This window comes from Homo sapiens, chromosome 11 (assembly GCF_000001405.40).
Source record: "Homo sapiens chromosome 11, GRCh38.p14 Primary Assembly".
Classification (NCBI taxonomy): Eukaryota; Metazoa; Chordata; class Mammalia; order Primates; family Hominidae; genus Homo; species Homo sapiens.
Genome location: NC_000011.10, coordinates 91793746 through 91815792, shown reverse-complemented (window position 1 = coordinate 91815792; position 22047 = coordinate 91793746). Strand labels below are relative to the sequence as shown.

The 22047-nt window shown below is 38.4% G+C and overlaps 1 long non-coding RNA gene across 8 annotated transcripts in view, besides 1 other annotated feature; it reads right to left on the bottom strand.

Moving 5' to 3' along the window:
• LINC02756 (long intergenic non-protein coding RNA 2756) overlaps positions 1–21471 on the bottom strand; it is a 78165-nt gene extending 56694 nt beyond the window's left edge. For 3 of the 8 annotated variants that reach the window (NR_187309.1, NR_187308.1, NR_187312.1), the window contains exons 1-3: positions 21371–21471; positions 20381–20484; positions 19685–19792 (exon numbers count right to left, since the gene is read on the bottom strand). This is a non-coding gene — a long non-coding RNA (long intergenic non-protein coding RNA 2756). Of the gene's footprint in view, positions 1–3491; positions 3805–12300; positions 12502–15016; positions 15573–19684; positions 19793–20331; positions 20485–21370 lie in introns of those variants that run through there. The other 5 variants (NR_187313.1, NR_187314.1, NR_187315.1 and 2 more) reach the window with 5 other exon arrangements.
• Positions 16641–17140: an enhancer, noted in NCBI's record as "H3K27ac hESC enhancer chr11:91531819-91532318 (GRCh37/hg19 assembly coordinates)". NCBI's record gives its function as "activates a minimal SCP1, AML or CMV promoter by ChIP-STARR-seq in primed H9 embryonic stem cells {active_cell/tissue: H9 hESC(primed)}" and the evidence as "EXISTENCE:reporter gene assay evidence [ECO:0000049][PMID:30033119]".
• Positions 21472–22047: the final 576 nt, after the last annotated feature.

The following is a 22047-nucleotide window of genomic DNA, read 5'->3' as shown; positions in this document are numbered from 1 at the left end:
GGGAATTGAGCAGTTATTATAGGAGTTAGGGGCTTTTTTTTTCTTTATTTCTGAGTTCTCAACTGCTCTGATAATAATTAAAATTTCCAGAAAAAATTATTTCTTGGAACATAAAGAACCAAAATACAAAGGATTTGGGGATACAGGCATACTTTGTTAATATGGTTTGGCTGTGTCCCCACACAAATCTCATCTCAAATTGTAATCCCACCAGGTTGAGGGCAGTTTTCCCCATGCTGTTCTTGTGATAGTGAGGGGGTTTATTAGGGAGAATTCACTCACATGATCACAAGGTGAAATCCCATGATAGGCCCTCTTCAAGCTGAGGAGCAAAGAAGCCACTAGTGCCACAGCTCGAGTCTCAAAGCCTCATAAGTAGGGAAGCTGGCCTTGCGTGGTGGCTCACAGCTGTAATCTCAGCACTTTGGGAGGCCGAGGTGGGCGGATCACCTGAGGTCAGGAGTTCAAGACCAGCCTGACCAATATGGAGAAACCCCCTCTCTACTAAAAAATAAAAAATTAGCCGAGCATGGTGGTGCATGCCTGTAATCCCAGCTACTTGGGAAGCTGAGGCAGGAGAATCACTTGAACCTGGGAGGCAGAGGTTGCAGTGAACTGAGATCTGCCATTGCATTCCAACCTGGACAACAAGAGTGAAACTCCATCTCAGAAAAAAAAGTAGGGAAGCTGACAGTGCAGCCTTCAGGGGCCTGAGAGCCCCGGGCAAACCACCAGTATATGTCCAAGAGTCCAAAGGCTGAAGAACCTAGAGCCTGATGTTCAAAGGCAGGAAGCATCTAGCATGGGAGAAAGATGAAAACCAGAAGACTTAGCAAGCCAGCTTATCCCACCTTCGTCCTCCTGCTTCTTCTACCTACACTTGCAGCAGATTGGATGGTGCCCACCCACACTGAGGGTGGGTCTTCCTCTCCCAGTCCACTGACACAAGTGTTTACTTCCTCTGGCAATGCCCTCACAGACATACCCAGAAACAATACTTTCCATCCCTTAATCCAGTCAAGTTGACATTTAATATTAACCATCACGGAAGATAATTGTAAATTTCCTGATGACCTATACTTGATAATATTTTCCAAATTTTCTAATATAATAATAAAAACTAACATTGTTGAATGGTTAATGTATACCATTTTAAAACTTTACATGGTTTGTTTATTTTATTTAACGAACACTGATATAGTTCCTATTTACATACCAGATTCTCCACTAAGCCATATACAAATATTAACTTATTAAATTACATAAATTTCTACCTGTAAGTAATCACTTCTTAAAAGTCTCATTATTCTTGATCTATAGGTGGGGAAACTGAGCCTCTGAGAAGTCCTATAATGTGCTCAAGGTCTCAGAGCTATTGAATGGAACAGTCAGTATCAAAGACAGGATCCTATGTTTCTAAGAATATGATCTTATACCATAAACACTCCAACAGACAGTTAACCTTGAAAATAGAAACATTCACTCTGAGAATCGGAATCCAGTATTATTAAATCTAATGGTTCAGGATAAAAGTGAGATAATTCTCAAATTGGCAAAAAAAAAAATGGATGGAGAGGAACCTTCCATTTAAAATAAAGGAGAAGCAGTTTTGGGAGTTATTGTTAGGAATGTAAAACATCCACTTTCCCCCTCTGATTTGTCTCCATCCAATTCCTAATCTAGACTATAGGACATGATGTATCAGTTTTCTCCATATTTCATTACTTACATGGATCAAGAGCACGGGCTCTGAATTCAGGTTACTTGGTTCAAATACAGATTCTGCTGTCTGAATGTGGGAAATTTAAGTTTTCCTGAGAAGTTTCCTCATTTGTGAATTGGTGCTAGAATAGTACCTACCTCATAAGGTTATTTTGAAAGTTAAATAAAAGTTCTTAGCAGACAGTATAGCATATATTAATTGATCAGTAAATGCTCATTTTTAATGTCATCATTTTGAAAATGTGTTCCATAGAAAGCTGATACAACAAGCAGCTCACTGAATAAAAGACTGCCTCTATTAATGAATTTGGGAAGTGTTACTTTTTCTTTAGTTTCTTCGTAGAGAGTCACAATGTAAATTGTCATAATAAATGTGCTTTAAAAATAACTGATATGAAAAGTGTTTAACTTTATTTAGCTCAGTATCTCTCAAACTTGTTTGTCCACAGAACCTATGTATGTATGGTGTGTCTGCACATGTGTATGTAAGCTATTCAATCCAAAAACTGTTCTGTTTTTCACAGAACACATTGCTGGGAAATTGTGTCCCTCACTAAAATATCTGAAATTGGAGTGATGAGAAATTGCAGAGTGGTGACTAATGTGATAATTCCAAATCTGGATCATATCAGTAAGCTTCAAATATCAGCATGTCTGTTAATGGGACTAAGGCACTTGCAACTTAGATTTCCTGAAGATTAACTTCATGTGTTTCTAGGAGAAACTCTTGGTTTGGCCTTCTGAATCTTAATCATTACTGCCATCATCACCATCATCATATCATCATCATCACTGCTTGCATATATTTAGTGGTTGAATATATGCCAAGCACAGTGCTAAGTGTTTTATTTGCATTAGTCCTAATGGCTGCCCCGTGAGGTAGGCATTCAACTTTAATTTTTATATAGTGGGACATGGGCTTAAAGAGGTTATGTGCCCAAGATAACAGGGTTAAATATAGAATACTGTCTTCTGTATCTAACGGTCCTGAAAAGTGGCTTGACATATTACTGGTGAGAATAATTGCTAGTAAAAAAGTTATAACAGTAGCTCACCTGGGGGTGTGCTATGATCTGTGACTGGGCATTTCAGAAGCATGCCCTCTTAGGAGGTGAGTTTCCTCAAAAGCTCTGCCATCTCTGTGTGTGTCAGACAAATGCCCCCTCAAAGGCCCAGACTATAGGAAACCTAAAAGTAGCAAAGCAGCAGGAGGGAGTGTGGCCCATTTAGTGTTGGGAATGAGTTTGCTTCATCACAGAACAGTCTCTTTCTTTTTAATTTTGGAATAGTGAAGCTGAACTTCATCATGCTGCTCACATTAAGGTCTGTTACAGGTTTTCATGGTGCAGTGAAAGAGCCAGGCTTATACCTGGAGACCATCACTTAGTACCTGTAGATGATAGGAACAGAAATATGTGGGACACGGGTCTGCAAACTATGCCTGTACAGCATATCTGGCTTGTCCCCTATTTTTTGCATGCTTGTAAGCTGGGAATGGTTTTAAGATTTTAAAATGGTTACACTATATCTATGCAATATCCTCAATTGTGTTTCTTGGTTCATACAGCTGAAAATATTTACTGCCTGGCCTTTAAAAAAACATTTGCTGATCCCTGATTCAGTATATTAATTTCATGGACTGTCCAATGTTCACAGCTCAAATCAACAAACAAAAAATCAAAATAAAGATCAAGCACCAACTTAGCTTAACCATTACCATTAAGGGAGAGGTTAACATTTTCTGCAGAAAATATTACCCATAGACGGAATCCCAGAGAATGGTCAATTAGTTTTTTATTGCAGATTTAATTTGTATTTTAATAAATGCAGTATGTAATGTAAATATTTCGAAACCTGGTAGCCATGATGGTTACACCTCTTCTGGCCCTTCCTTCCCCATAGTTGATAGAAGCTGGGGCGAACACTTGACAAGTTATGTCAATCAGACTCTTTTTCCTGATGGATCAGGGAATAGGATTACAGTTAGCATCTGAATGTGGGTTGATTTTAGGCACAGTTAAATAGTCTTGCTGTGTGAGTCAGCCATTTTAAGCATGTCCACAGAGATCAGAGAAAGTTGTTCTGCAAAGGAATAAGAATATGAGTAGAGAACAGAAGAGAATCAAGCAGAGAAACTACTACCTGATTACAGACAGCTGTCTAGTTTTTGGTTTCAGGAATCTCTAGAGCTGCTTTCCAACATGGTAGTCACCTGTGGCTACTAAGTCCCTGCAATGTGGCTAGTCCAAATTAAGTTGTCTGTACGTGTAAAATATACATTAGATTTCAGAAACTTGGTGCAAAAAATAGTTTTAAAATTTCATCAATATTTTATATTTATTCCATGTTGAAATGACAATATTTTGGATATATTGGGTTAAAATCAATTTAACTTTATTCCCTTTTACTTTTTTAAAATGGCTACTAGGAAATCTAACCTTATTAATGTGTTTCCTATTAGACTTCTATTAGACACTGGTGCTCTAGAGATTCAGCTACTTTGATTCTAAGAAATACTGATACCTATATATCACACTCCTCTACTCTACCTTATTTTTCTTTTGCTGAACCTAAATCCAGTTGGTTTTAGTTAACGCAAAAAAAGACTCTTGATAAAACAATGAGCCCTTTCCACATGCCTAACTTATAATATCTCATGCAATGGAAAAATTTTACTCAATATGACAATTTGCCAGAGCTAAAGACCTTACCCTTCAGACTTCTGGTTCTAAAATGGCAGTGTAGAAGCAAGTTGGCTTCATCCCCACCCCCGAAGAGAATGAAAAACAAATATACAGTGCCCGAGATTATCACCAGCAATATCCCAGAAGTCAAATATGGGAATGAGATAGTTTCTAGGGCCACAGAGAAGTGAAGCAACTCTGAGCAGATGGTAAGATAATTGTAATTTCATATTTGTGGTGGCCCTTCTTCCAGTATGTCTGGCACAAAATGCACAGGACTCTTCCCTCTGACTCATGGTTTCTACACCGGAAAAAGTGAGATTGAGGTGGACAAGCAGCTTCCTACTGTCTAGAATTCCCTGTCAGGGGACCAGTCCCTGCTTCAACCCAAAGGAAGCATTGAGAGCGACTAAAGGGTGAAATATCCTTGAGCATAGCCACAGACAAAGTGGGAGGTGGATGTATCACCCAGAGCCCTGGAACTTCTGCCCTGTAACTAGGCCATAGCCAAATCAGAGTGGCTCTTCGGCAGCACCATACTATAAGAGATTTTATCCACAGTTACTATGGACAGAAACCACTGGCCAGCCTTCCCACACTATCAAGATTTTCCCTTTGGGACCTCTCCCATTTAGGATGGGCAGCACTCTGTTTACTAAAACTGAGGCCAATGTGGGTTTAAGATGCCAGGGCCATCTAGTACTCAAAAGGAGGCAGCAACCTAGCAGATAAAAAGAGAAAAGAATAGGTAAATTACAAAGAATTCCTAGGCAATGATATTCAATAAAAAGTAAAACAAGCCAGTTAGAGAAAACTAGAACAAATAACTAATCCTTTAATACAAAGAAACAGATATGGATCCCCAAAAATCAACAACAAACAGGGAACCATGACGTTCTCAAATGAACAACGCAGGGAACCAGTAACTAGCTCAAATGAGACAGCAATATGTGGACTCTCTGACCAAGAGTTAAAATTAACAGTTTTAGAAAATTCAGTGATCTTCAAAATTACAAAAAAAAATTCAGAAATTTATCAGAAAAACTTAACAAAGATATTACAATAATTTAAAAAATCAAACAAATATTGGAACTGAGAAATGCACTTGCTGAACTTTAAAATTTGTTAGAGGACATCAACAGCAGGATGAATCAAGCAGAGGAAATAATCTGTGAGCTTGAAGATAGGCTACTTGAACATAAACATTCAGAAAAGAAAAAAGAGTAAAAAGTAATGAAGGTTGCATGCAAGATAGAGAATTACTTCAAAGACCAAATCTAAGAATCTTGGTGTTCAAGAGGGAGTTAAGCAGGAGCAAGTGGTAGAAAGCTTATTCAAAGAAATAATAACATAAAACATTCTAAAATTTGAGAAAGAGACAAATATCCAGGTACCAGAATGTCAGAGAACACCAAACAGATTCAAAACAAATAGGACAACCCCAAGACATATAACAAGCAAATTCTCAAAGGACAAGGACAAAGAGAGGATTCTAAAAGCAGCAGCACCAAAACAAAAGAAGCAAATAACATATAAAGGAGCTCCAATGATCAGGCAACAGCCTTCTCAACAGAAAATACAGAGGCTGGGAGGGAGTGAAACAACATTTCAAAGTGCTCAAAGAAAAAACCTGGCATCTAAGAATAGTGTATCCAATAAGGTGAGAGAAAGATTTTTCCAGACAAAACCTGAGAGAGTTCACTACCACCATACTTGCCTTATAAGAAATGTCAAAGGGAGTTCTTAAATCTAAAAGAAAAATTACTAACGTGCCAAAATAAAACATTTGAAAGTACAAAACCTACACTAGTAAAATTAAGTACATGAGCAGATACAAAAAGATATAGTACCATAATTGTGATGTGCAATCCACTCATAACTCTAGTATGAAGCCCAAAAGACAAATGTATCAAAGTAATAAAACTTACAGCAACCTGTTAAGAAATAGGTAATATAGAAATATATACATGAAGACAAAATAAAGTCAAAATGTTTGTTTGCTTGGGGGTGATGGAGTTAAATTATAGAAGTATTTTTTTAATGTTTACTTTGTGTCTATTCTTTTCTTTATGATCTAAGTTGTCACCTTTTAAAAATAACTTATTATATCCATAAGATGTGTTTTGTAAACCTCATGATAACCACAGTGAAAAAAAACCTATAATAGATTACTTAAAAATAAAAAGTGCCGAATTCTAGTGTGCTACCAGAGAAAATTGCTTAACCACAAAGGAAGGCAGTGTCAAAGGAAAGAAGAAAGAAAAGATTACAAACAACCAGAAAACAAACAACAAAATGGCAGTAGTAAATCTCTACTCATCAGTAACAAGGAATGTAAATGGACTGAATTCTCCAATTAAAAAGTCTATAGGAAACCAACTTTACCTATAAGGACACATAGAGACTGAAAGTGAAAGAGTTAAAAAAGATATTCCATGCAACTGGAAACCAAAAATGAGCAGGAGTAGCTCTACTTATATCAGATAAAATAGACTACAAATCGAACACTGTAAGAAGGGACAAGGTTACTATACAATGAAAAATAGGTCAATTCAGCAAAAGGATGTAACAATTATAAATATCTATGCACCCAACATCAATGCCCTCAAGTACATAAAGCAAACTTTAATAGATCTAAAGAGAGAGATAGACTGAAATACAATAATGGTAGGGGACTTTAACTCCTCATGTGCGGTAATGGACAGATCATCCAGACAGAAAACCAACAAAGAAATATTGTTGTTAATTACTTAGTAGACCAAATAGTCCTAACTGACATTTATAGAATGTTGCCTCCAACTGCTGCAGAATACACACTCTTTTCATCAGCAATTGGAACATTCTCCAGAACAGACCACATCTTAGGCCACAGAACAAGTCTCAAGAAATTTGAAAGAGTAGAAATCATATAAAGTATCTTTTCTGACCCCAATGGAATAAAATTAGAAATCAATAACAAGAGGAACCTCAAAAAATACACAAACATGGGAAACGTAAACAACATGCTCCTAAATGACCAAGTGGTCAATGAAGAAATTATAAAGGAAATCAATCAATTTCTTGAAACAAATAAAAATGGCAAAACAACATATCAAATCTAAGGGCCCAGCAAAAGCACTATTAAGAGGGATGTTTATAGAAATAAACAGCTATATCAAAAAAGTAGAAAGACTTCAAATAAACAACTTAAGGTTGTACCTCTTGGAGGAAAAAAAAATTAGTAGAAGGAAGGAAATAATGAAGAACAAAGCAGAAACAAATGAAATTGAGACTAGAAAAACAATACGGAAGATGAACAAAACAAAAATTTGGCTTTTTGAAAAAAGAAACAAAATCAGCAAACCTTTAGCTAGACTAACAAAAAAAAAAAAAAAAGAAGAACCAAATAAGTAAAATTAGAAATGAAAATAGAAATGAAACAACTGAGATCACAGAAATACAAAGAATCATTAGACATCATCATTAACATAAACAAATGCCAACAAATTTGAAAATCTAGAATAAATAGATAAATTCCTGGACACATACAGCCTACCAAGATGGAACCTTGAGAAATAGAAAATCTTAGCAAACCAATAATAAGTAATAAAATTGAAGCCATAATAAAAAGTCTCCCACCAAAGTAAAGCCTAGGACCTGATGGTTTCACTACTGAATTCTACCAAACATTTAAAGAAAAGCTAGTATTAGTCCTAATTAAACTCTTGAGAAAAACTGAAGAGGAAGGAATACTTCCAAACTTATTCTACAAGTCAGGCATTACTGTAGTTCCAAAACCAGACAAGAGCAGAACAGCAACAATAACAAACTACAAGTAAATATCACTGATGAACACAGATGCAAAAATCTCCAATAAAATGCTAGCAAACTGAATTCAACAACACATTAAAGAAATTATTCACCGTGATTGATTGAGATTCATCCCCGGGATGCAAAAATGATTCAACATATGTAAATCAATAAATGTGATACATTACATTAACAGAACCAAGAACAAAAGACATATAATTTCAATAGATGCTGAAAGAACATTTGATGATAAAATTCAACAGCCTTTTGTGATAACATTCTTTTATCAAACTGGGTGTGAAAGGAACTGACTTCAACATAATAAAGACCATATATGACAAACTCATAGCTAACGTTGTACTAACTGGGGAAAAATTTAATACCTTTCTCCTAAGATCTGGAACAAAACAAGGAAAGCCAATTTTGCTACTTTTGTTCCACATAATACTGGAAGTCCTGGCCTAAGTAATTAGTAAAGAGAAATAAACAAAGAAAATGCGGCTGGGCACGGTGACTCACGCCTGTAATCCCAGCACTTTGGGAGGCCGACGTGGGTGGATCACTTGAGGTCAGAAGTTTGAGACCAGCCTAACCAACATGGTGAAACCCTGCCTCTATTACAAGTACAAAATTAGCCAGGTGTGGTGGTGTATGCCTATAATCCCAGCTACTTGGGAGGCTGAGGTAGGAGAATCACTTGAACCTTTGAGGCGGAGGTTGCGGTGAGCTGAGATCACATTATTGCACTCCAGCCTGGGCAACAAGAGCAAAACTGCATCTCAAAAAAAAAAAAAAAAAAGAAAAAGAAAAATGCAAATTGGAAAGAAAGAAGTCAAATTAAGCTTGTTGACAGACAACATGACCTTATACTTTGAAAACCTAAAGATTCCATCAAATAGAACCAACAAACAAATTCAGTAAATGTCCAGGATTAAAAATCAGCGTACAAAAATTAGTAGCATTTATATATACACAACAATCTGAAAATGAAATCAAGAAAGCAATCCCAGTTACAATATCTACAAAGAACATAAAATACTTAGCAATCAATCTGACCCAAGAAATTAAAGATTTATACAAGGAAAACTATAAGACACTGATGAAAGAAATTGAAGAGGATACTAAAAGCTGGAAAGATATTTCATGTTCATGAATTGAAAGAATCAATATTGTTAAAATGACAATTCTACCTAAAGCAATTTATAGAGTCAATGCAATACTTATCAAAATACCAATAATGTTCTTCATAGAAATAAAGAAAAATTCTAAAATTTATATGGAACCACAAAAGACCTCAAATAGCTAAAGTAATCTAGAGTAAAAAGAACAAAGCAAAAGGCATCACACTATCTGACTTCAAAGCATACTGTAAAGCTGTAGAAACTTAAATCAGCATAATACTGGGATAAAAACAGACACATAGGGAACCCAGATATAAATCTGTGTATTTAGAGCCAACTCATTTTTGACAGTTTCCAGGAACATACAGTGGGAAAAGGACAGTGTCTTCAATAAATGGTACTGAGGAAACTAGATAACCATATGCAGAAGAATGAAACTAGACTCCTATTTTTCATCATATACAAAAATCAAATCACAATATGTTAACAACTTTAATCTAATACCTGAGATTTTGAAACTACTAGAAGAAAACTTTAGGGGACACTCTAGGACATTGGTCTAGGCAAATTTTGTGTGTGTGTGTGGGTAAGACCTCAAAAGCACAGGCAACTGAAGCAAAAATGACAAATGGGATTACAACATGCCAAAAAGCTTCTACACAGAGAAGAAAACAATCAACAAAGTGAAGAGGCAACACACAGACTGGGAGAAAATATTTGCAAACTATCTATCTGACTAGGGACTAATAACCAGCATATATAAGGAATTCAAACAGCACAATAGCAAAAAAAAAAAAAAGAATCTGATTTTAAAATGGAGAAAATATAGAAAATATCTGAGTAGATACGTGAGTAGGTATTTCTTAAAAGAATACATACACATGGCCAACTGGTCTATGAAACATCACTATCAGGAAAATGCAAATTAAAACCACAGTGAAATACCTCACCCCAGATAAAATGGCTTTTATCAACAAAACAGGCATAACAGATGCTGGTGAGGATGTGGAGAAAGGGGAACTCTCCTACACTGTTGGTGGGAATGTAACTTAGTATAGCCACTATGGAAAAGTGTATGGAGCTTCTCCAAAAAAGTGAAAACATAACTACCATATGATCCAGCAATTCTGCTGCTGGTTATATATCCAAAAGAAAGGAAATCAATATACAGAAAAGATATGTGCACTCTCATGTTTATTGCAGCACTGAATTTACAATAGCCAAAATATGGACTCAGTCTAAGTAGAACTAGGGGTCATTACGTTAAGTGAAATAAGCCAAACACAGACAGATGAATATCACATGGTTTCAATCATTTGTGGGAGCTGAAAAAGGTGGATCTCATGAAGATAGTGATTAGAATGATGGTAATCGGAGGCCAGGAAGGGTAGAGAAGGGAGGATGAAGAGAAGTTGATTAATGAGTACAATATACAGTTTGATAGAAGAAATTAAGACCTAGTGTTTGATAGATAGTAGGCTGACTACAGTTTAGGATAATCTATTGTATATTTCAGAATAGCTGGCAAATGTTTCTAGCATAAAGAAAAGACACATATTTAAGGTGATGGATATCCCAATTACACTGATTTAATCTTTATTAATTATGTGAATGTATTACATTATCACATGCGACCCCAAATATGTACATCTATTATGTATCAATAAAAAATAAAAACATTAAAAAGAACATACATATTATTCCTTAATACAGCATTAGATAATATTAAAAGCTACCATTTATTGGGCATTTACATTGTATCACTAAGGCTGTTACCCGATTTGCCCAAGGTGACATTGCTAATAAGTGAGGGTGTTGGTTTGATATAAATCCTCTGCTCTTGAACTTTAGATTCTCTCAGTCATGAATTGATGGCATTTGTGCCAGAGATAGGGTTGTGATATGATTTGTGTTGACTTGGTTTGCATATATAAAGCAAATAGTGGGCATCAAGGGTCATGAAAGTCCCTAGGGAAACTAAGGAAAATGAAAGACTGGCTGGAAAAAAAAAAAAAAAAAGAAACCACTCTTTCCCTCTCCCCTGCTGTGTGATCAGGTAACATGTCAGAAACATAGGTAGAATATCAAGTCCCTCCTGTTTCTGCTGTGTCACTCCTGGGAAAACTAGACTTTCTGCAATCTCTGCAGGATGTATTGGAGTAATCTAGCTCATCAGGAGGCCCAGACAGATTGCAATACTTTGGGAATGTGCACTAAGTCAGAGGGGGAGCGGGGAGCTTCTGTGAGCTGCAGGAGACAGATTCCTTTTGGTTAAAGAATGGCCTCACAATCTTCTGCTTCCTGGCTGCAGCCTCTGCTGCTGCATTCACATTAGCATGAGCTCCCCAGAGATTATCTCTTCTCAGAGCTTGGAACAGAACCCTGTTCTCCAGGAAAAGTTAATTCACATCATATGGGGGAACAAATTACTCCCAGATAGTAGATTATTTTCTTTGTCTTTTCATAAGGTCAGACTCAATAATAAAAATCTTAATGATGATGATGATAATGACACTATAGAAATGCAAAGTCTTTGGATTGTTATTCTTGCACAAAACCATTTAAGAATCCTAATTTTACTGCATACTTATATTGGCCAGGCAGTTGTTTAGTTTTCCTTCATCATATTCTTTTGTCACTGATGTATTGAGTTTCCAGATGCTTATTGTACTCTGTGACTAATTATCTATTGGAACAATTATATTAACTACCCTATCACTTGAAAAATAGTTTTAAAAGTTTAAAAAGTAAAAGAAGAGTGATAAGATTATACTGAGTGGCATTTCCAAATTTTTTGGAAACACATATTGAAATTGTTAGAGAATAAAATGAATGTATTATACACAAAAAAGAAACAAATGTAGTGAATTCACCTAACTCGGTATTGTATAAAAAGTTCTATAAAAGACACAAACAACTCTTATGTCAACTTTTTAAGTCCAATTTATAATAATGACATTAAAATGAGGGGAGAAGAAAACTACCTGAAACCAGGGTAAAATTTGTAGAAAATGTCTCTAGAGCCTTCCACAAATGTGTTATATCTGCCTTGCACACACATTAGCAGAATACAATCAAAGAAAATCCTCAGCAACCCTAAGGAATGCCCTTTTATTCTCTGGTGCAGACTTGTCCTTCCAGAAACCATCCACCACTTTCTTTCGATTGTTCATAGTCCACTTTCTCTGGAGAAACACAAGACAGGTTTCTGGTTCATAATGGCTCATACCTTTCCCCTCCAATTTTGCAGCCAGAACCCGTGTATATTTCACACCCTAAGTGGGATCAGCCTTCTGAATTCCAAATGAACTTTTCATGGGTCCAAAGTGCAGTTTGCAAATATTCTCTTCTTCCATATATCTGCATTCTTTCTAAGGCAGGTGTGAGGTAGGTGAGTTTAATCACTTTGCAGTGCATAAGGGATTAAAGGTTTATAGGTTTTTCTTGGGCTGCAGTTCCACAGTCCCCTCTTTTCTTCTCCTTCTCTTCTCCCTCCCCCATTGCCTCTGATTCTCCCACCCCCCACCCACTCCAGGGCCTTTGGGGTAACTCTGTTGCTTTCTGATATGATTTTCTTCTGGCAAATGAGTTAAAGTGTTAGAGACTGGCTCTATATTTCCTCTCTTAAAAGTAAAATCAAACTGCAAAATCAGCCCACAGGAAGAAGTAATTTCAAAAGCCATGGCTCACGTTCCACAAGCCTCTTGAGCTCTCTCATCTCCCCCCTCAACAATGCACCCCTAGGGCCCATCGAAGTCAGGCTTTCCAAAAGGCCCCAGTGAAAGTGGCAAGCAGCTCCTGAGTTGTTTTCCTGTCAGAAACAAGGGGTTCTCGTCACTTGTCATGGCTGCGTAGCCACTTTCAGAGTCTATTTGGAAGCTTTTGGCCTCTACTGCCAAGAAAGCGCTGAACTGTTGGTGTGGCTGGACAGTGAAATGGTGACTTGGTGAGAGGAAAAGTCCGGGAATTTAATTGTACTCATCTCTCTTCTCTTTACAAAAAAGAGGAGAAGATTTTCTAGTTTTAAGTTTCAATCCATATCAATAAAGTTGAGAACTGTGGGTAATACAAAGAAAATCGTTTCTTTGTGTGTTTTTTTGTTTGTTTTTGTTTTTGTTTTGTCTCCCTCAGTGTATGCTGGGTGTGGCTAGAGCCTTGGAGACTCCATTGCCTCTCCTGTCCTTCATGTCTCTGCTGACTTGTAACAAGGAGTATCATTTTCAGACTGAGATACAAGGAGTATGTTTCATACTGTGTTACAAGGAGTATGATTTTCAGACTGATTCAGAAAACTCAAAAAGCAAGGTTTTGAGCTACACTCTTTGTAACAACATGTTACAAGGGGCATGATAGATAAGTGTCCTGTGATTGAGAGATTCCCAGATTGTTAAAACAATCTCCTGTGAGCTTTAGGTATATTAGATTAAAGGAGTAATACCTGGAAGTTCTGAAATAGGAGAAAGAAAATAGAACAAGCTATGCATTGCAGTGTGCGCATGTATGTGTTTGTATAAGACAGCAGATACCATACATTGTGATTCTAAGATGCTTTTTTTCCCCAATTTTAAAACTTCAGATATTGGGATATATCATACAGTCACTGTGCTCTGAAAGAACGGTGTCAGAATAATCAGCAGTGTTTTTTTTTTCCTTTCATAGGGTCACACAAAATATTGGGTGAGTCTTTTAATTGATCAGAGTAGAAAGTCACGGGAGAGGGTGAGAATAATGGAGAGGGTGGCACAGCTAGGGCTTAGAGAGAAGACGACCTATAAAGGAGAAATTCTTGTTAACCTGAGGCTTCTGGCACTTTGCTACTTGGTTGCTAAATCTGATCTACCCTCACACTATGGCAGATAAGGTTACTGTCACACACACAATTTTCTCTCCCCTTTAGTGATAATGTAAGGTTGTTCCAGGGAAGTGACAACCAAAGAGGAGACCATCTTTCCCAGGGTTGTCCTCCGTGGCCTCCTTGCATTCAGAGATAACCATGTGATTGATTCTTTTTTTTTCTTTTTTTGTCTTAGAGTGTAAACATAAGTGATGAGTATCTAGAAAAGAGTTTTTAAGTAATATTTCTTTTCCACACTCTTCTGTCTCCTTTTATCTGTTGGATGCAAACAATAATAATGAAACCTTGGGGGATCAGAGAGCCAAGGGATGTGAACCTCCTAGCTGTCCATAACACCAAGTCAAAACGAGCTGCCCACCAATAACATGAGTGATAAATAAACTTCTATTGTATTTAAGACATTATATATTTTTTGAATCCATTTGTTACAGTTGATATTACCCTTACTCATCTATTCACATTACTGTAAGATATCAAATGCAAGGCAGGAAATTAAAAGTTGGATGTTCTAGAATTTGAGGAGGGGGCTTAATTTTTTAAAAAATATCCAGCCAAAAGAAAGGAAAAAGGAATATTTAGGAGGTCCAAATATATCTAAAAGCACTTCAAAAGCAGTTCTAAAGTAGAAAGGATGAGAATTTATTTGAGTCCACGTGGCTTATATATGAATCATCAGTGAAAGTTAGAGAGGATAGTTTCAGCTTAATTTAATAAATGCATTCTAATTAATTACTATATTCTAAGTGGCCTTGCCAAATAGCACTCCCTGGCACTAATTTTGAATGAACATCTAAGGACATTCATGCTTTAGACAGAGTGAAGAAAAGATGATGTCTGAGGCAGCATTCCTCTCTGAGTGTTTATTATGTATGTGTAAGTAGCATTTTGATGTGGTGGAGTGTTAAATGTTACGCAGTCTTGATGACAAAGACTAAAATCTTCTATGTGGAAATATTCTGCTAGACAAGTAAAGGGAATGAATAGCTTCATATTTTCTTGACTAAGTGGGTAAATTTCAAAGTCAGGAAAATGCCATAGGATTCTTCAGGTGTTGCTTCACCAGCCAGAAACCTCTGTGGCTGGTGGTGCCTCGGCGGCTGGTGGTGCCTCTGCTTGAGTCTTGCTCGCACCCACTGGGCTCGTTTTACCCACTTGGCCCAGCAGGCTGTGCTTGGCTCGTGCTACTGGCCGAGATCCCATGCCTGCCAAGGGTGAGCCAGGCACAGAGTGGTGAGGGGCGTGTGAGTGAGTGAGCACAGGTCTGGCCTCTGTGCACAGCCAGGCACGCTGGCTGCTGTGGTGGGGCAGGCAGCTCCAGGTGCTGGCACAGGCACTGGCCCCAATCAAGGCTGTGACTGGACCAGATGTATTTCAAGCAGCCTCCACTGCAGGCACCAGCATCTGGATGAGGGAAACACAGTGATGCCTGAAAGTTTGGAGATGCCAGGAACTGCAGAGCCCCAAAGAGGATGTTACAAGTTACAACATGTTACAACCCTGGCTCAGGGATCCTCTAGATCTGGGTTCCCAGCAGGGCCACAGCTCTTCTCTCCTTCTTGTTCTTCTTGTTGTCTGCAGCCTGGCCAGCCGGGGAGAGGGGGTGGGGTGGGGCGGGCAGGGACCATGTATGGAGGGGCATGTTTCAACCCATCTGTGTTGCAGCTCTTTCAGTCTCACCATCCCACTCTGGCCCATGGCTCCTGGGCTGGCCTGGCCCTGCTGCTGCTTTTTGTCATATGGGGCAGCCATCTGTTACTGGCAAAGGGTGGGAGGTCTATATTATTAAGCTCTGGCTTCGGGAATCCCAAGGTGTGGGCCCCCAGAAGGCTCACTGACACAGTTTAGCTCTGTGTCCTCACCCAAATCTCACCTTGTAGCTCTCATAATTCCCACTTGTTGTGTGAGGGACCTGGTGGGAGATGATTGAATTATGGGGGTGGGTCTTTCTTGTACTATTCTCGTGATAGTGAATGGGTCTTATGAGATCTTAATGGTTTTAAAAACAGGAGTTGCCCTGCACAAGCTCTCTCTTTGCCTGCTGCCATCCATGTAAGATATGACTGGCTCCTCCTTGGCTTCCTCCATGATTGTGAGCCCCCCCACAAGCCATGTGAAACTCTAAGTCCAATAAACCTCTTTCTTTTGTAAATTGCTCAGTCTTGGGTATGTCTTTATCAGCAGAATGAAAATGGACTAATACAGTAAATACTCTTCACTTCTGCAGTCCACCTACATCTCAGCAAGTCAGCCAGGAACATGTTACAACTCCTTTTGCTCCTGCCATTTGGTGGTTCTTAAGTTCTTGTCCCATATCCCAGAAAAATGAGGTTAAGCAGACAACTGGAGGGTGAGCAAGGCAGAGAAGAGCTTTATTGAGTGACCAAACTTCTCCCCAGTGGAGAGAAGACCTGAAGTGGGTACCTCCTATCCACAGGCAGGTAGTCCCAACCATTGTCTGAGTCTGGCTGAGTTGAGAGTTTTTATGGGCTCAGAATGGAGGAAGTGTGTGCTGATTGGTCACATAAGCAGGAGAAAGTGTGTGCTGATCAGTCTATGAGTGGGCCCAGAGAAAGCACCAATCGATTGGCTGAAAAGCATCAAGAAAGTTATCACTCCAGGTTGCGGACTTCACCTGGAAAGGGCAGCCCAGCCCCCAGGCTTCAGGCTGTCCCTGGCTGGAAGGCTGGGTTTTACTGGGGACCTGCACTTTCCCACCTAGGAACCTCTCTGCCTCCCACCACCATCAACATGCTGTCCACAGTGCACAGGCTGTGCTGAGGGGTGCCTGCAGGCCCAGAGCCACCCTCAGGCCTTCCCACCCCTGGCCACATCCTCACTCTTGTGCTAGTTGGTGCTCAAAGTTTTAGCCTTAGAAGCAGTTTCCAGAGGGGGCAGAGGCAGTGGGGAGGCTGGCATATCAGTGCTGCCCCAACCACATGCACACCCGGTCAGGTCACGACAGTGCCCAGGCTCAGTTATCAGGACGTGTCCACAACTTCGCTCCACTGTGAGGCAGGGGCTGGAAGAGGCCAGGGATTGGAAGCAAGCATTTCCAAGCCTATGGGGACAGGGTACTGTCCAGGCCCCTGAGAGTACAGGGAGGCCTGGGTCTGGAGCCACAGCTGGGTGGCTGCAGTCACCCCTGGGAGCACAGGCTTCTGCCACTCCCAACTTGGTAGGGTGCAGGCCCCCTGCCGGGATCACCTATTTCTGGGCCCCGTTGGCTCTATAGAGTGCGCAGCCCTGGCTGCACCTACCCCGCTGCTTATGGTGTCCTCGCAGTGGCCACTCCAGACAGACCACCATGGCCATTAAAAAGATAATGAAAAGTTATTGTGAGTAGGAAATCATTTAGTCAATAAACATTTGATAAGCACTTAGGATCTAGATGACACCATTTTATGCAAGTACAGGGCATGGCTCCCGTTCTCAAGGTCATTATGATCTATTGGGGAAGACAGGGTTTGTTCACTTTTGAATATTTATTATTATCCATTGTAAGATCACCAGGGCAAGTGGAACATACCAAGGAGACAGCATACTAGAAGGAAATAAGCCCCTATTTGTAGTCAGAAGAACAAAATTCAAGGTTTGTTTCTGCCTCTGACTGGTTATGAGGTCTTTAGTAACTTATTAATATTTTGATACTCAATTAATTTTATTTTTATCATAAACATAATGCATATTTATATTTCAAAATTTGGAAACATTCACAGCTTTATAACATTTAGTGAACATTAACCATTACTTCCAAACTCAGAGAGTGACTTAATAATTTTTGATGGTCTCTTCCAAAAAGTATTAGGCATCTATAAAAATAGACTATTTTTTTATCTACAGATTTGAAGTTACAAGTATTCTTACCCCAAAGATAAAGTTTATATGGCAGACACATGTGAAGGTAAGGGTGATTATAAATAGAGATCACAGACAGGATTCCTAAGCAGATAATCCTGAACCTTCAAGCAGTGCCAAGGGAAATACACTTGGTGGAGAGAAGAGGAGGCAGTGCCTTGACTCTTTATATTTAAAAAAATAAAAAGATGAAAGGATGAATAAACCTTTCAAAGCTTTCTAAAAATTCAGAAAGAGAAGGAGGAGGAAAATCCCAACCCAAAATTTTGTGTCTTTTTGTACCTCATACCATTTAACTCTCACAATAGTTCTGTAAGGGTGATTACTGTGTTATTGTCCCATTTTACAGATAAAAATATGAAGAAATAGAGCTCATATAACTTGTATGTCCTGGAGGCTGAATTTGAAACTACATTGTATGAATCCCAAACCTCTGTTTTTCCCTCCAATATGACTCATAGAAATACCCTAGAAGAGAGGGAAGTGTTTTCTGCTAACTGCCAAAATAGATTAATCATTAATAAAAGAAAAGGGTGTAAGGAAATTAATGAACAATTTCTTTCTGTTACAAGCCTCTCTTTTACAAGCATTTGCTTAGCAAATTGTGTATTTTGGCATTGGGTTGAAATGCTTAATCACCTTTCCATTCTCTCCTCCCACTTAAATAAGAGTTAAGGGGAAGGCAGGAAAAAAGTTTAGTCAGGCAAAGGAAGCAACTGGTACCTTCTTAACATTAAAGGAGCTATTTCCTTCTGTACTTGGAAGAGGAAAATGTAGCTAGTGGGGCTGTCTAGGACCTCTGTGTCTGAGGGAATCACTTATTTTCTCCTCACTGGGAAATGTATGTAGGGAGACAGATAATTCCTTCTCATAAATTGATTGTAACTAAGGTTGTCAGAGCTGGCAAATAAAAATTCAACAACATGGATGAATCTGGAAGACGTTATGCTAAATGTGATTATGCCTCATGTAAGTGAGATATTTGGTCTTCTGTGACTGGCTTAATAGCTACAGTGAGCTATAATTGTACCATTGCAATCATGGTGAAATATCTAAAATAGTTCAACCAGGCCAGGTGTGGTGGCTCATGCCTATAATCCCAGTGCTTTGGGAGGCTGAGCCAGGAGAACCACTTGAGGCCAGGGGTTTAGCATCAGCCTGAGCAACATAGTAAGATCCTATCTCTACAAAAAAAAAAAAAAAAAAAAAATTGGCATGATGGGTTATGCCTGTAGCCCCAGCTACTTGAAAGGTTGAGGCAGGAGGATCACTTGAGCCCAGGAATTTGAGGCTGCAGTGAGCCATGATTGCACCACTGTATGCCAGCCTGGGTGACAAAGTGAGACCTTGTCTCACTCTCAAAAAATAAAAAAAAATAAATAAAATAGTCCAATTCACAGAAACAGAGTATAATGATGGTTGCCAGAGCCTGGGAGAGATGGGGATGGGGAGTTGTTCAATAGGTTTGAAGCTTCAGTTTTTTAAGATGAACAAGTTCTAGAGATCTACTCTACAATATAGTGCCCTTAGTTGACAATTCAGTATTGTACATGTAAAAATTTAATAGCATCTCATGGTAAGTGTTTTTACCACAAAATTCAAAATAACAAAAAAAGGGGAAAGAAGAAACTTTTAGTGGTGATGGATATATGTATTACCTTGATTTTGGTGATGGTTTCACAGATGTATGTGTATCTCCAAACTCATCAAATTGCACAAGTTGAATGTGTCCAGTTATTTGGCATATCAATTATACCTCAATACAGCTGTTTAAAAAAGAATATGGAGGGTCTAATTATATTTGAATTTCAGATAAACAATGAATTTTTTTAGTATAACCCAAATTTTTAGTATATGTGCCAAATTATACTAAATGATTATTTATTGTTTATCTGAAAATCAGTTTAACGTGAAGCCCTATATTTTATCTGGCAACCCTAATTGTAATTGATAGTCATTCATCATGGCTAGCTACTGCTAAAAGTCAAAGGAAAAAACAAAGAGTGAAAAACCTCAAAACCTAAATGCTGCCCAGGCCTCACATTTATCTCTGCTGGAATGTGAACTGGAAGCATGACCTAAAACTCTATCCACAGGCTCATCTCAATTTCTGGCTAGTAGATTTTCTGGGCTGTTCAGCCCAAGCATCCTAATTTAAAGTGCTTTCTGTGGTTATAGTTGGAGGAAATAATTGTGCTTATAATTCAGTGTAAATAATAAAATCAGTCCCTTAACTGTGCTCTCTGAAATAAATTTGCAGTTTCTATCTCTGTATATTTTATGTTTATTCATAATTTATTACTACCGTATTGATAATGTAGGAGTTAGCAGATTAGATGACAGAATAGTTGTACTTATCTCTGAGATGATGAAAACAAAACATCTTGTTAATCAATCATCCTGCTAGACACTTAGCCAGATTCTCTCCTAAGAGAATCTCTCCAGATCCATGTCATTACTGAAAGAGAAAGTAAAAACAAACAAACCAAAAAAGGGCTTGTTATACATGGACTCACTCCCAATTTGTGGTTCTCTGAAGGTCACAGCCATTTGCTAGTGAATGAAGTTTCAGGACTTACTCCTTCAACCTGCTTCTGCTCACTGTTATATTACTGAAGTACTGAGCAGTGAGTAAATGTATTAACCAGATATTTGCAGAGTCAGTTTCATTCTTTTTATTCAATTACCCATCATCTTAAAGAGGATGGGTTTTGCAAAAGTTTAGGTATATCTGGAATGCCATCTGGGAAAATAAGTAGTCTTGAGGCTGCAGAATTCGTAGGCTTCCACACTGAAAACTTAGTCTACGAAAGGTTTCAGAAATTCTTTCACAATTATAGTTTCTAATTAGCTCACATTATTTATATTACTTGGTCCCCAACCAAATGGCCACACCTGGAGGAAGGTTCAAACGGGCCAAATTTTATTTAATTGAGTTTAAATAAGATAAACAATATCGAACTAACGACTTAATCGCTCTTTACAGTTTACAAATGATTTCATTTTGAGATTATCGTATTTAATCTTTTGTGTTATCTCCAACCCTCCTCTCTGCTATTGTTACATATAAAAAAGTGTGAGATTCCCCTGGGCTAAGGTCACACAATGAACACGTTGCTCCAGGCACCACACTTAAATAACTTTATGTAACAACCACAACAACAAATACTGTAATGATGCAAATAATAGTAAAATGATCCAATAACAATTAACAAGCAGTTACTGAGGCAGGAGAATAGGGTCCAGAGACAAGGAACCTAAGGCTGATTCACGCTGAATTCCTAGAACTGAATCAAAAGGAAAACCCCACCTCTCCACACCCAAGTAACAAAACGATCAGTTACCTTTGCATTGGGCTGCAGATGAAAAATGGGAGGTACCTCTGATTGGTCCCCTCCTGCAACCAATCAGGCTGGTCAAGGGCCAATTCTTCTTGTGTAACTTTGTAACTTCACTTCAGCCTCTGATTGGTTGTCTCCCACAACCATTATGACGTGGTGGGCCACTCCTTCCTTTATGTAGGGTGTAATCAAATACCCAGTGGGAAACCTCTAAAGGATATTTAAGCCCCAGAAAATTCTGTAACTAGCTCTCTTGAGCCACTTGCACAATCCCACTCCTAGTCTGTGGAGTGTACTTTTGTTTCAATAATTCTATGCTTTTATTACTTCATTCCTTCATTTTTTTTGTGCATTTTGTTCAATTCTTTGTTCAAAACACCAAGAACCTGGACAACTCGTAGTCAAGAACCTCCACTGGTAACATTACTATATGCTTGGCCCTGTTCTAAGGACTGGAGTGTGTATGGTTATTCACAGAAGCAGAAACAGGCTCAGAGACGTGAAAAAATTTTCTCGCATTTTCAGAGCTGGAAAGAAGTGGAACCTGGATTTAAACACAGGCAACTCTAGAGCCTCAAGTTCCACTATGATCCTTATTAGAACATTAAAACGTCCAACACAAAGAAATGATACATGTTTGAGGTGATTGATATGTTAATTACTCTGATTTGATCATTATA